We start from the raw sequence: 15,350 nt of genomic DNA on the forward strand, positions 1-15,350 counted from the left end.
TTGAAAGGCTAAATGGAACTAGCTGACATCTAACAGTGTTTTTCATATTTGCTAATTATTAGACTATCTTAGCTTTGTAAGCATAGAGATATCCTCTCCATGCTTAAAATTTTAAGCTAGTAGACTGAAGTTTTGACCTATAATATGAATTATGTTTGTATGTTCTCTAGTGATTCTGATAGTCACTACATATTCATTAGAATAGGCTATGTAGTACTATGGTCACAAATTAACCACAAAATATCAGAACCTTAACACAAGATTTATTTATTCACAAATCCACTGCTTGGGTGACTCTCCAGAAAAGATGTCTTCTTTGCAGTAACAATTCAAGGTGCTCTATCTTTGTGCCATTGAAATGTTTATGTCCTTGCAGCAGGTGGAGAGAAGAGTTAGCTGAAGGATGGTGCACTGGCTCTTAAATCTTAGCCAAATCCATTGGTCAGAATTCATCCCATGGGCCTGCCTCTTCAAAGGGGCTGAGAAATATGGAGGAGAACAGAGGTATTTGGAGAAGAGTGCCACAGTCAGGTTTTAAGAATCATTGAATCATTTACCTCTAAGTTTCTTTCCTTCTCGGATGTTTGTGGATCACCTGTGACACAGATAGATTTACATTTTCTGGTTTTGTAGAAAGTAATACCGCTCTGACATCTCCAAATCACCATGAAATGCTTTTCTTTGTTTTCTCTTTGACTAGCATGATGTAATATTTCCATGAAAAGCATGAAACTATTATATTGATGAGGATCTGATGGTCCTGCTACCCCTTCTGTTGGTTGTTCTTTAATTCCCTTGAGTTAACATACTGTAAATTAGCCCTAGCCAGAATGCTTTGCATTTCCACCGAATTTACTGTCAATTGGATGCCGCCATAACACCTACTGGTACATTAGAAGGCAAATGTTTTAAGCTTCTAGCCTCTAGTGGTTATGAGTTGACTATGGAGTCAGTTTGCTTGGTCTTAGATCCAAGCTTCGTCATTTACTAGGTATGTGAGTTTGGTAAGTGACTTAACCTCACTGAACTAATCTCCTCTTGAGCAAAATGGGAGTAATTATATCTTCTACCTCATGGGACTGTCATAAGTATTAAAAATGATAATCTACATTAAGTGCTTACCACAGGGTCTTACCTATGGAGAGCAACCAATAAACTTTGTCTGCTTTTTACAAAGGGATGTCTTTAAGTCTGCTGACCTGCCAATAACTAATAAAAAGAAGCTCCTCTGCCTCACCTCTCCCAGAGTAATGGATTTCACCAGTATATGCTGAGAGAGAAGGCTTTTTCTATGCCTTCAAATCAATCAATTTCAATTCATTTCCCCACCTTCTTGTAAAGCCAGTTTTGACCGTATCTTTCAACTCTAAATGATGATTTTATGAAAGTCAAAATGAAATTAGCAAAATGGTATTTTTCTGTCAATGAAAGCATAGAAGCTTTAAAAGACTGGTGAACAATAACTCACATCTCTCCTACTCTATACTACATGAAGCTGTGTGTTGTCTAACAACAGGAGTATGTTAAATCATTAAACGTAAACTTTCTTCCCCCAGAGTGGCAAGTGAGCTATTTTCAACTTTCTGTTGTGACACCATTTTTTTAGGTTGTGTCAGCACACCTATTATTAATTTACCTCTTCACAAGCTGTGTGCATCTTCTCCAAGAACGTTTATTGAGATCTCTTTTCCAACACTGTCTAGGCATTTCTCAGGATGTCTTGCATGGAATGCTAGTCTGGAATAATTATTTAAGGTATATTGCCCTTGAAAAGATACTTTCTTGCTCAAATACGAATATACTTCAGGCTCTACCTATCTTAGACACTGACAACATATATTGGCACCTCACTATACATTAGCACATCCAGAATATGTTTTTAGACATCCTAAAGTAATGTCTGTTTAACTCCGTTCTACTGATTACCTACAAAACTAATTTGGCCATGAACAACTTATTTTCACACAAAAAAGTGTGTTCCAAAGAATGATATATTTGGCAAATCATGTGCAGAATTGATGAGAGAGCTTAAGCTATGGAAGTCTCCTTGCTTCTTAGGTTTAGAAAGATAATAACAAAGAAACAATGTCTTGGTCTGATCTGATTGTATAAAGCCAATGGCCACCATAAGCACAAAACTCTAATTTGTTTGACAGGACTGGAACTGAGGAGAGCAAAGTGAAGCACTTGTAGGAGTTGCACTATTTAAGGAGGCAGCAAAAAGCTCAGTAAACAAGATAAATCATATTTTAATGCAATATTTTAAGATAAGGAAAGTAAAACTATTTTAAAAATAAAAATGCCAAATGCCATGATGAACAAAACAGCAAATTTTAAATAAAGGCAAGATGAGTATTGCTGATTTTTTTTTTGCTCCCATATGGTTCTGAACAATACTGTTACTCTTCCCTTATTTTAAAATCTTGATATTTTGTTCATCATGAATTTTTGCATTAGGTTTTGATATGTTAAAATAAAATGGTGCATTGAAATATCACTTGCCTTGATTTCTGAGTGTTTTGGGGCCCCTTCAATGTTACGACTGAGCGAGCACCTCATCACCTCCCTCCAGTTCCAGATTTGCTACTTGATCCCTGTTCAAATGTAACTGGGGATGGAAGAGCAAACTCATTTTATCTAGGGCTGAGTTCTGCACAAAGTCAGCATAGTATTGGGAGGAAATGGCACAACCATGTTCATAGCAGCCCTATTCACAATAGTTAAAAGGTGGGAGCAACCCAAATGTCTATCCACAGATGAATGAATATACACAACGTGGTGTGTACACACAATGGCATATTGTTCAGCCTTAAAAAGGAAGGAAATTGTGACACGTGCTACAACATGGATGAACCTTGAAGACATTATGCAAAATGAAATAAGCTAGTCACTAAAAAGACAAATACTGTATGATTTCATTTATATGAAGTATCAAGTATAATGAAACTCATAGAAATGACAAATATGCATGGTAGTTGCCAGGGACTGGAAGAAAGGGAAAGAGGGACTTGTTGTTTAAAGGGTATAGAGTTTCAGTTTTCACAACGATACGAACATACTAAATACTACTGATATATACACTTCAAAGTGGTTAAGATGGTAAATGTTCTGTTACGTGTATTTTATCACCATTAATTTTTTAAATTAAAATTTGAGAAAAAGGAGAAATGGCAAGAGTCAAGGACAGAGGTGCACATCATCAAAAGCAGAATTGGAAAAGGGTGCCAAAGAAGCAGAAGGCCAGGAAAGGGAGGGGAGAAAACACAGGTTGGAGGAGTAACCTGGGTGAACTCTGGTCTCCAGGCTTCTACCTGTCCTTGGAACAGGCTGCATTGAAAAGGAGGCTGAAATATGTTCACTCAACTTCAGGTGTCTTTTCTGGCTCTTCTTCTTCTCCTTCGGAGACTTTCTGGGGGAAAGATCTTTAAATGTAAGATATATTTTGGTTAGAAATCCTGTCTGTTAATGTACAGCTTCACAGTGCTGACGGGCTGCCCACGACCTGCAGCACATTTTGGATGCTTTTTTAGAAAAGCTAAGATTATTTTTCTAATAACTCTTTCATCTGCAGCATCTAGTTTTTCCATTAGGAAAACTAAAATAGCTTGTGGAATTGCTTTTTGTCCTTCTACAATAACAGATGCTGCAGCAAGCCCATCACTTTGGGACATATGTAGAATATGATGTGGTTACAATGAGAAAATTCTCTCTTCTCTCCACACCCTTTTTGCAGAAGGACACTTTGTGACATCTCCTTCATGTTTCTGGGTCACAAAATATCTTGCGTGAGTGGAACAGAGATAATATATGTCAACATATGCTGAAATAATAAATAAGATCTCTTTAAGGGCAGATAGCATCCATGAATAATTTTAACAACTCACAAAGATACTTGGCCATAATTAATTCTAGGGAAGATTTTTTTTAATGTTTTCTTTCACTGGGACACACTGGATACTGTTTTCTTGGTGGTGGGAGAGAAGTGGATAGTGAATATCAATCAGGATAGGCTGGATTAAGCAGTGATAATAAACATCCTGCAAATCCTAGTGACTGAAAAAATTGAGTGTTATTGCTCTCTCATGTTACACATCTGCTGCACAGCTATAGCAGTGTGTTCTGTCATCTTCACTCTGGGACTCATGCTAATAGAGTGCCTGTCCTCTGGTTGTCATGACCAAGATTACAAAGACCTGTGATGGACCAGGCTGCTTCTGCTCAGAAGTGACACACCACTTGGCCCACATTTCATTGGCAAATGAAATGGCCCCTTGAGTTCAACAAGGTACATCTGTATAATCTTTCTTCAGGGAGGTTCTGTGAAACAATAATAAAAATGAACTGGAATCGTTAGCAAAGAGGACTCTAATGTACAGGTGGTTGAAGAAGGGAAAGAGAGCTACTATTGCCACAATTTTCCAGGAACATTGTATACTGTTCTTGGTCAGTTGTCACTCAGTCTTGACCACAACCCTATAAAATTCATTACTCTTCTTTCTGTTTTTCTTAGGGATGAACAAGGTAAGTTCAAGCTGATGCAGTGTTATCAGTCAGGGTTCTCTAGAGGGACAGAACTAGTAGGACAGATGAATAAATCAAGGGGAGTTTATTAGGAGAATTGACTCACATGATTAGAAGGTGAAGTTCCACAATAGGCCATCTGCAAGCGGAGGAGCCAAGAAGCCAGTCTGAGTTCCAAAACCTCAGAAGTAGGAAAGCCGATAGTGCAGCCTTCAGTCTGTGGCTGAAGGCCTGAGAGCCCGTGGCAAATCACTGCTGTAAGCCCAAGAGTCCAAAAGCTGAACAACTTGGAATCTGATGTTTGAGGGCAGGAAGCATTCAGCATGGGAGCAAGATGGAGGCCAGAAGACTCAACCAGTCTGCTCTTTCCATGCCTGCTTTTATGCTGGCAGCTGATTAGATGGTGCCCACCCAGACTTAGGCTGGGTCCACTTCTCTCAGTCCACTGACTCAAATGCTAATCTCCTTTGGCAACACCCTCACAGACACACCCCAGGAACAATACTTTGTGTTCTTCAATCCAATCAAGTTCACACTCAATATTAACCATCACCCTCAGTAACCTGCCTAAGGTCATAGAGTTATTATGTTAAAGCTGGTATTTAAATTAATGCTCAATTAACTCAAAGGTCATGTTCTTCCCAAGACAACTTGGTGACTCTTACAATCACATGAGGACAAAGTGAGGCTTAAATCACCTATTATGCAACCCATTTTTTCAATGGTGATACCCAGTATGGACGTCCATGTTAATTGATGAGGTAGATAACAAGCACAGCATGTAAAGATTGATAGAACAGTTATGTTCTTCTGAAGCAGAATGGGCTGGAAAGGCTAGGTTGTTTACCCCGCCTCACGCATTTTCCACATTAAAGAGGACATGAGTCTCACTGACCGTCTTATATAGGTTATAAAACTCCTTCAATAAAAACTTTTTTTTAAATCACTATTTCTGGAGCATCCCAAATAGGACGAAAGCATGTATTTCTAGAAATGGCTGGGAGTGAAGAATTAATAAAAATAAGTTCATGAATAATACAAGAAAAGAGTTTACCAAGGCAATGCATACATATCAAAGGCAAAAGCTGGCTAAGAAACCCAGTGTTGCAATACAAGCAGGTTTAATTTTTCTAGAAGATATATAAACAATTTTAAAACTCTCACTCAGAGAACTCACCACCCGCCTCAGCCCCATTGTTTTACCCTGTCTTCCAAATATTATTTGAAATAGTAAGGCATTATTTGGCACATAAGCTTATCATGCTGTTAATGAGAAGAGTGAATTAAAAATGGAAAGAGACTAACTGTTCAAAAAATGGGCAAATGTGTAAGGAAAGTCTGACTCATCTGTTTGAAGAAAGGCTACCCCACTGTTAAAAGACTCGTTTGTGAATAGTTCAAGATAATGTGTGAGTATGGTTTGGCTTTCGTGTTCAATTAAATAATTAGAATATGAAATGGAATATATTATAAGGTCTCCACTCTGTAGGACAAATGAACAGAAAAATCAAACAATGTATTTGTTTATGTAGAAAAAGATAAGGAAATAGAAATGAATATGAAATCCACCATATGTAGCATTGGTGGTTATAGTCTGTATAACTATAGATGATTATTACATTCATTGTTTATTTATTTATGTATGTAGTAGATATTTATGGAAAGGCTATGACACGGCAGATGCAGTTCTAAGTGTGGCAGTGAATAAAACCAAGCAAACCACTTTCTTGTGCTGCTTATAATATGATGGGGAAGGACCTATGAGAAACAAATAAACATTTTACTTGGTTTAAACTCCTTTGGAGAAAACTAAATAGGATAAGGGAATACAGTGCCATGGAGGAGGAGTTATTTTGTACATGTTGGTCAAGGAAGGCTTCTCTGAAAAGAGGATATTTGAGTAGAGGCCTGACGGAATTGGGGGAGCTGGCAAGGCAGGTTAGTGGGGACAAGCATTCAGGCAGAGAGGAACCAGATGCAAAGGCCTTGGGTGTTTGCATGCTTCAAGGAACAACAGAAGCAAATGTGGCTTGAATGAAAGGAGGAAGGGGAAGGTAGTAGTAGAAGGGGTCAGAGGAGTGGTGGTTGGTGGTGGCACAATCATGTGAGACTTGAAGACAATTTCCAGGACTCTGGCTTTTTTACTGAAAGAGATACAAACTACTGGAGGATTCTGAGCCAAGGTGTGGCATGGTCTATCTTACAAAGGCCATTCTGGCTGCTGGGGGAAAGAGACTGGGAACAGGATAAGCAACTCAGAAACAAGTGAGAAATATCAGTAGCTTACTTAGACTTGGGAAAAAAACAGCAAAATAATAAGAGATGTTTGGATTTTTAATAGTTCACAGATGAATCTGAAAGGATTTGCTTATAAATTAGAGAGGCCGTATGAAAAGAAAACTCAATCACGATTCCCAAGTTTGTGCACTGAGAAACTGATGATGAAGTTGCCATTTACTAAGAGAAGAATGCAGAAGAAATGATTTAGGGGTGGGATGGGAAGAAATCCGGAGTTTGGTTTGGGATGGATTAATTGTGAGATGTTTAGTCAAATAAGCAGATAAACATATGAGTTCCACATTCAGAGGGCTGAATGAAATAACGTAAGGATTAAACGTAGTTGATAAAATGTCCAAGAGTCAGTCCTGGGCATGTCACTATTTTGAGCTGGCAGGACGAGGAGGAACCAGAAAAGGAAAATGAAAAGTGATGGCTATTGATGTAGGAAGAAAACTGAGTATTGTCCCCTAAGCCAAGTATATAAAGATGAAGGGAGTTTATGTCAATTGTTGCTGATACAATAATATCTGCAATGAGAACTAAGTAGTGACCACTGTATTTGGTAACACAGGTAACTGGGAGGGTAGTTTCAGTGGAGAGATCAGACTGAAAGGCTAATTGGAATTGGTACAAGAGAGAATAGAAAGGGGAGAAGTGAAGACATCAAGGAATTTTGCTGAAAAGGGAAACAGAGATATTGGGCAATAGTTTAAAGAAGTTATGGAATAAAGAGAGAGCTTTTGATAAGATAGGAGGTAGGAAATATTGCAATTTCTTTTGAAACAGGGTCTTGCTGTGTCACCCAGGCTGGAGTGCAGTGATGCCATCATGTCTCACTGTGTACTTGGGATAGGCATGAGCCACCACACCCACCTACAATGTCCTTGAATAATAATGGGAATAATAAGTAAGTAGGGGAAACTTGATAATGCAGGAAAGAGAGAAGATAGCAAAAGAGATGTCCTTGGTTAGATGAGAGAGGGCCCAGGGCACATTGCAGAAGTGGGCCTTTGAAGCAATGTGGGTTCATTCATCCTAAGAGAGGAAAAGACACAGCTTGTGGACATGAATGCAGAAACTTTGCTGTATTTGGTGATAGATGCAGGTGGAACTTTTGGTATAGCTTCTATTTTCTCAGTGAATTAAGAGGAATTATGTTCTCTTCCCAAGTTGCATAGAAATAAATCACAGAGCCCTCTGGATTCCAGATTCCAAAGTCTGTTCTTTCCATGACAGCACAATGGTCTAGCCTAGCCTCTGTCAGGGTAAAAACTTAAAATTCATCTAAATTGTAGAAATCCACATTAAGTGTTAATATTCTTAAGAGAGGGCTCACCCTCTATTTAGCAAATCTTATATTGGAACTACTCTATTGGCCAGAGGCATCATTGAACTTTTCCACATAGAACTTTTCCACAATAGAAATCCCTTTGCTGATTTTTTTGTTTCCAAAGTCCAAAGTTAATAATAATAGCAATATCCATATCAAGATTACAAAATCATTATTAGCAGTACAATTTTACAAATAAGTAAATTAAAGTTCAGCCAGATTAAGGAACTTGGTCATCTTTGTACCCTCCACTCCTAGCATGGTTCACTGAGTTTTTGGTAGATCACTTATCTTCCTCATACAGCAGCTTAAATTACATGAATTTTTATTACCTAGCCAGTTTTCAGTTGCAACAAAGGGAAAACCCATCTAAAATGGTTTAAATTGTAATCCTGCTGTTTCAAGTTCAAGACAGGTTAATTCAATGACTCAACACCATCCCAAAGGGCTGTTTCACCAGCTTCACATTTTGCCACCCTAAAATCGTAGCTTGTCCAAATAAGGCAGCCTGACAGATGCCACTGACACTCTTTGGAGGCTGAATCAAGGGAACATTTCTGTTTTGTGTCTCTTTAAAATCAAGGAAAACCTTCCCAGAATCTCTCCCTGATCCCAACTGTAGACTCAGCTAGATTTTTTATCTACATCCTTCTCCTCCTTTTTGTCTCTCTCTTCTCCCCCTTCTCTCTCTCTCTCACTCTCTCTGAGATTCACTTTTTCCTGAGTACCCTAGTAGCTAATGCTAATTATGTAAAGCTTGATTCTCATACAACAGCTTAAATTATCCCGTAAAAAGCTATATTTAAAAATTATAGTCCTGAGTATAGTCCAGGATGATGTTCCTATACTATAGGATTTGTCTGGGGTCAACACTTGTTAAGGACTTTATTGATCTGGGTTGAAAATTAATTGTTTTATCAAGTCATTAAGAAATATATTCTATAATGTTATGAATTTACTTATGAAACTTTAAATCAGCTTTGCAGAAGTTAAGGAATCCATCACCAGCCCTATAATTTACCTAATGATAATTCCACATCAATAGGACAAAGCATGACCTGTTAGAAGTCAAAGTCATGTCTCTCTTTTAAAAAAACATGAAATAAAAAATCTACTGAATGGGAACCATACCAGGTATTGTATTCATAAACCAAAGGTCTTAAAATAGCCTTCAGGCTCTACCTGATGGGAAACCCCCCTGTTCTGCTACTTCTCTGACCTCACCTGCTACAACTGTGCTCACTCACATCTGGCTTCAGCAGCTCTGCTCTTGTTGGTGTTGCTTTCACAAGGGACATCATACACTCATGTTTCATGTCTTTGGCAATCACTGCTCCTTTGTCTGGGATTAGTATCACTTTATTTTGATGCCTTTCTTGACCCACCATTTATGAAATAGCTACCCTGCCTCCTAACCTTTAAGACTTCCTTTTCCACTTCCTGGGTTATTTTTTCCCACAGCACTTAATAGCACCAGGCACATTATATATTTATTTGTAAATCTGTATTTGTCTTTTTCCCTCTACCAGACAGTAAGCTCCAAGAGACCACAGTATTTTTTTTTGTATTTTTTTCCTTGCAATAGTCCAATTACTCCGAACAATGGCTAGCATGTAGTAGGCAATCAGTGCTTCCAGAATAAACAAACATTGTAATTCCTGCATTCAAGAGGCTTCCAACTTATTGGAAAAGTAATGCAAACCCAACAACCAACAACCCAACCAACCCACCCAATAGCCATCTGACCACCCACCAAATGGGTTTCATGGTACTCAGCATGAGACTTGACAACAACACCCAACAGAGTCAGAAAGCCTGAGATCCATGCCTAGATCCACTCACTAGGCCTGATGAGTTTAGAAAGGCTTTTTTTTTTTTTTTTTTTTTTGACAGAGTTTTGCTCTGTCATCCAGGCTGGAGTGCAGCAGTGAGATCTTGGCTTCGCTTCACTGCAACCTCCGCCTCCTGTATTTAAGCGATTTTCCTGCCTCAGCCTCTCAAGTAGCTAGGATTACAGGCACACACCAGCACGCCCAGCTAATTTTTGTACTTTTAGTAGAGATGGATTTTCACCATGTTGGCCAGGCTGGTCTCGAACTCCCAACCTCAGGTGATCCACACACCTTGGCCTCCCAAAGTGCTGGGAGTACAGGCCTGAGCCACTGCGCTTGTATAGAGAATAGTGGTAAATTATCTGCTCCTCTATTTCTTTATCAGTGAGATAGACTTAATACTATCTCAATTGATGGTTTTGAGAGATTAAATAATCTCTGGAAAACACTTTACACTGCGGCAGACATTTAAAGTGCTCATTTGACCCTTGAACAACATAGGGTTTGAACTGTGAGAATCCAGTTAGACGTGGTTTTTCTTCTGTCTCTACCACCTCTGAGACAGCAAGATCATCTCCTCATAATCCTCCTCCTCCTCCTCCTCCTCAGCCTACTCAATGTGAACATAATGAGCATGAAGATCTTCATGATCATTCACTTCCACTTAATGAATAGTAAGTATATTTTATCTTCCTTCTGATTTTCTTAATAATATTTTATTTTCTCTAGCTTGCTTTATTCTCTAGCTTGCTTTATTTCTCTAGCTTGCTATATTGCTATATGTATATAATATATATAACATACAAAATATTTGTTAATTGACTTTTTATGTTATTGGTAAGGCTTCCAGTCAATAGTAGGCTATTAGCAGTTACATTTTGGGAAAGTCAAAAGTTATACATGGATTTTCAACTGTGTGGGGCTCGGCGCCCCAACCCGTTGTGTTGTTCAAGGGTCTACTGTAAATGTACAATTTTATTATATATAAAAAAGGGCGAGATTTGATAAAGGCACAGATGAGCTCTGCCTGGGGAATTCAGGAAAACAAAGATAAGATAAGCCAGAAACCCAGGTGCTCTGTGGAAACTTATTGATAATTGACAAAAGAGTGGGGGTTGTGAATGTTTTAGTTCCTTAAAACTTTTACCTATAGAGAGGCACACCATTGTTCTCCTTTGTCTCTGATCATCAGTCCATATTAAAATTGAAGAGATTGGTGTCGGAATGAAATCAGTACCTGGGTGCTAAAACGCTGACAAGCCGGAGGTGCCTGATGAAATACATGTTGACTTATTTCCTACTACAGTATCTCTCTTGTTTCACAGGCTACTGAGCAAAACCAGGGAAGTTCAAATACATAATTCAACTCAAATATATTATATAATTAAGTATAACAGTTTTGTCATCCTATTTCATATAATTTCCAAAATACCAACATGTCTATATAATTTTAATTTCTTTTGCTTTCAAATTAGAGAATATGATGCCTTCTTCTGCCTAATTGTACATACATAATATGTAAATTATTAGACTATAATTTGCACAGAGTAGGTGCACAGAGAACATTAGGGTTCAAAACTATAAACTGACATGGCAATTTGTTTTTGCAAATAATATACAACTTGTGTCAAAGGAGGAAAAAATACACACAGTATTTCACTAAATAACAATTATCTAGGAAATGTTGAGTTGTTATTATTCTCTATTAGTTCTACTTGCATTCATGTTAAATGAATAAAGCTGAATTAAAAGGTGACATTTGGGCTATTTCCTAAAAAATGTGATTTCTCAGTCTTTAAATACATTTCCTTGGCTCATGTTTTCATCTAGGCAACACTGCTACTTTAATGTTATTTAAAATTAAATTTGTTCTTTGGTTCGTTACAATGCTTAGCAAGTTAATAAGTTTATAAATCATAATTAACTACAACTTTCTGTTCTGTTGCCCTTCTGAATTGCTTTCTTTTTGATTTTTTTTTCCCTATGTAATTTGCTGCATGCATACTTTATTTTAAAATGGGTAGACTTCATTTTTATGGTGTGATGGGCTTGGCTTAACTGGAAATGTGTAACCATGTCATGAGTGAAACACATGTGAGTGTGTGAATGCACATGTTTGCACATGTGTGAACATAAATGTGTACATAAATGCTTAACTGACTTCCAGGGAGCATCATTTTTTTGTACAGGTGCTCCCCCACTTGCTGGGTGCAATTTCTGAAACATGTTGATTCCAGTATTCCATCAGGGACTCCTTATTTCTGTACAATAAAGGGAAGTCAAATAAAGTATAATGAATTTTCAAACACTTCAGAAAAGCTTTAAAATGTTCAAAGAGAGAGTCAAAAAGCCTCACTCATTAGGATTCTACTTGAGGAATGTGGGTGAGCTTCATTAGAGTGTGGAACCACAGGGGGCAGAAAGGATTCCTGCAAATGCCTTTTTCTTCATTGTATCATATCACAGATCTCCCCTAGTGGCTTATTTAGAATGAACTGTGATTTTAGCAACACAGGGTGCAGAGGTAAGTGGTAATAATTAAGAGAGCACAGGCCTAACTGTGAAATCCTTTCCCACCCCTCTGGCCAACTGCATCCTCACAAGCATTCTTGATCACCTGTATGTCAATGTACACACGTGCTTATCCATGTTGTTCTTAAACTTAAGGCATTTATATTTTCCCCTAAACCTCTACCTTTTTCTCAACTAGTTGTTACAGGTTTCTTTGTTGTCTTCTTTTCACTGTCATGCAAATATTGTAAGTTTTATGCCAATGCCAAAAAATGTTAACAGTTTTATATGTTGTCCAATACATGTAGTTGATTTCAGGCTGTCTTTGCTATTCTCTTATATTTTTCACAAGCACTGTTTTCCCCTCTGTAAGATGTGAGGATAGACGCCCCTCCTTCCCTCCAGCCTTTTCTCTAGTTGCTAAGTCTCACATTCAGTTCTTGGTTGATTGAGCAGCCTCGTCTGGGGCATTTCCACAGCATGAGGTCATCCTCTGTAGTGATCTCTTAATTGATGCCACTACAAATCTACAGCCTCCAGCATTCCCTTCGCCCCTGCAGAGCTGAAGGTCACACATCTCCCACCTCTGGATGGCCAGGCCAGGTCAGTACCCAGAACAGCTCCTTGTGTGCCTACATTTACAGATAAAGACCTTTAAAATAAAATGTACTATGCTGACCCTTTTTGGCCCTGAAAGAACTCCACTAGATTTTACCTTCTCCCTATGATCTCTGGTCTGGTAGAGTTGGTTTTCACCCTAATAACTCCACACGTAGATACTCATCTTCGAAACCCTTATAACCGAGAATTCACTCGAATACTCTAACTTTCCCACTCCACACTTTCCTCGTGACATAGAACCCCTTCTTGTCTGCATATTATAAAGTGCGCCTCCAGCTGAATCCCTGATGATACCAATTATAAAACTGGCTCAAAATATTTTTTGTGCAAAGTGGAAACAATTTAACATTGTAGACCCAGGGAAATATCAGATAAATGGTGTTATAGATGAGCAGGCAATAACACAAACCCAACACTTACTTGCCTAGAAAATTATTTCTTCTGAAGTAGTCTATTATGCTAACACTGAGGTAGAGAGTACCTGCATTCTGATGTTAGCTCTCTCTCGAATCTTCAATAAATAATTTTAGATACATCTCTCTTCATTGAAATTTAATTTTCACATTTTTAAAAGAAGGAAACTTTTTTAAAAAAAGAATTTCCTAGCTCTTATATGATATGGAGGACCTGCCATCTTCCATTGCCAAGGCATGGTGCAGAATAGAGAAGAATTCATCACTATTTGTATAACCCACCACATCACATCTCAAGGTTGATGTGACAGTTGGAGATAATGAAGTATAAAGTGCTTACAAACATAATAGATGTTCAATAGATTTTAGTTTTATCACACACGAGCATATAATCTATTTGTATTAATATAGTAAAGCACATCATAAATTAAATGCCTACATAAAGTCATAATAGAATACATTAAATATCTATTTTTTACTATATTTATTTTTAAATAACATTAAACTTTTTCTTCCCTCCAGAGACAGGATGGAGGAGGTAACTTCTTTGAAGCCTGTATTAGGTAGGTTACATTATGTTCTGCTAAGAAAATGCCCCCAAATCTCAATAGTTTGTGATGGCCAAGGATTATTGTCATCCAGTTTACATGACTCTCATGTGTTGGATGTGGCCTGTATCACGTTATTTTTATGCTAGAACTCAAGCTGAGGGAGAAGTTTCTGTTGGGAATATTGTCATGCTTATGCCTGAGGGTCCATGTACCTTGGGACTACACGATGATGAAGTTTCTGCTGAAACGCGCTTATGTCCTTTCAGCTCGTATTTCATTCACCATGCAAGTCACTTGGTTAAACAATGTGCTACATTTCTTGCTGAGAATTCATTATTTATATATATATATTTATGGGATACATCCAAATGTATCAAGAAATGTATTTACATTTATTTATAACAAAATTAATGAAGCATCTGTCAATAAGATTTTAACTTATTGTTACCTGAAACTTGAAAAAAAAACCCTTAAAACCTGATTTATAAATTTATCAAGATGCTAAAATTAGACTTTTTTTCAGAATGGGAGAGAAAAAAAAATGAACAATTTTCTACTTTTTTTTCCTAGCACAAAGCACAATTTACTAAAGACATCAATATAAATTTGACATTGCAGTGACCTACAAAATAAAAGCAGTCAGGATCCAGCCTAGACAACCTACCAGGAAAAATTGTGTGTGTGTGTGTGTGTGTGTGTGTGTGTGCGTGCGTGTGTGTGTGTGTGCATATGTATGTGTTCATTCTATGAAATTGACTATGATAGCTTCAAGGAAACACACAGAGGTGAGACAAAAGAGAGATTACCAGAGAATAAAAACATATAGTACAAAGAATGTTAATTGGAGTGTTATTTAAAACACCATCTTATAAAATCTCAATGAATCCTAATGAATCAGAGGATTTATTTGAGCCTAATAATGACTAAGTACTTTATAGAATAAAATTGAGGGAGATTAGAATACAAAAAAAATTAAAGGGTCCATCTTGAGCTTAAAAGTCAGGAAATAAAGAAGCATTGCATGTCAGGTCAGTGGAGAACTTGAAAATTTGTTCTGATTTCACTAACATATTTAACTCTCTCCAAAGCTGAGTCTTTGTTTCATAGTCAAGTCATTAGATTCCACCTTTGGCAATATTTTCTCTGCTCCCAGCTCTGCATTCTGTTATTTATTTCCCTTTCTGCCACAGAGAAATGGGGACTTAATAAAAGCATATTTTATTTCCAATCTGCTATTTCATGGTTCTTGCCCTGATAATCATTACTTTTCTTTATTGCAAAACAATTTCTT

At 37.6% G+C, this 15,350-nt stretch overlaps 1 long non-coding RNA gene across 1 annotated transcript in view; it reads right to left on the reverse strand.

Annotated features, from left to right (window-relative positions):
* Window positions 1–251: 251 nt before the first annotated feature.
* Window positions 252–15,350, reverse strand: part of LINC02126 (long intergenic non-protein coding RNA 2126) — a 34,818-nt gene continuing 19,719 nt past the window's right edge. The window contains exon 4 of the long non-coding RNA NR_110918.1: window positions 252–595. This is a non-coding gene — a long non-coding RNA (long intergenic non-protein coding RNA 2126). The remainder of the gene's footprint in view (window positions 596–15,350) is intronic.

This window comes from Homo sapiens, chromosome 16 (assembly GCF_000001405.40).
Source record: "Homo sapiens chromosome 16, GRCh38.p14 Primary Assembly".
Taxonomy (NCBI): domain Eukaryota; kingdom Metazoa; phylum Chordata; class Mammalia; order Primates; family Hominidae; genus Homo; species Homo sapiens.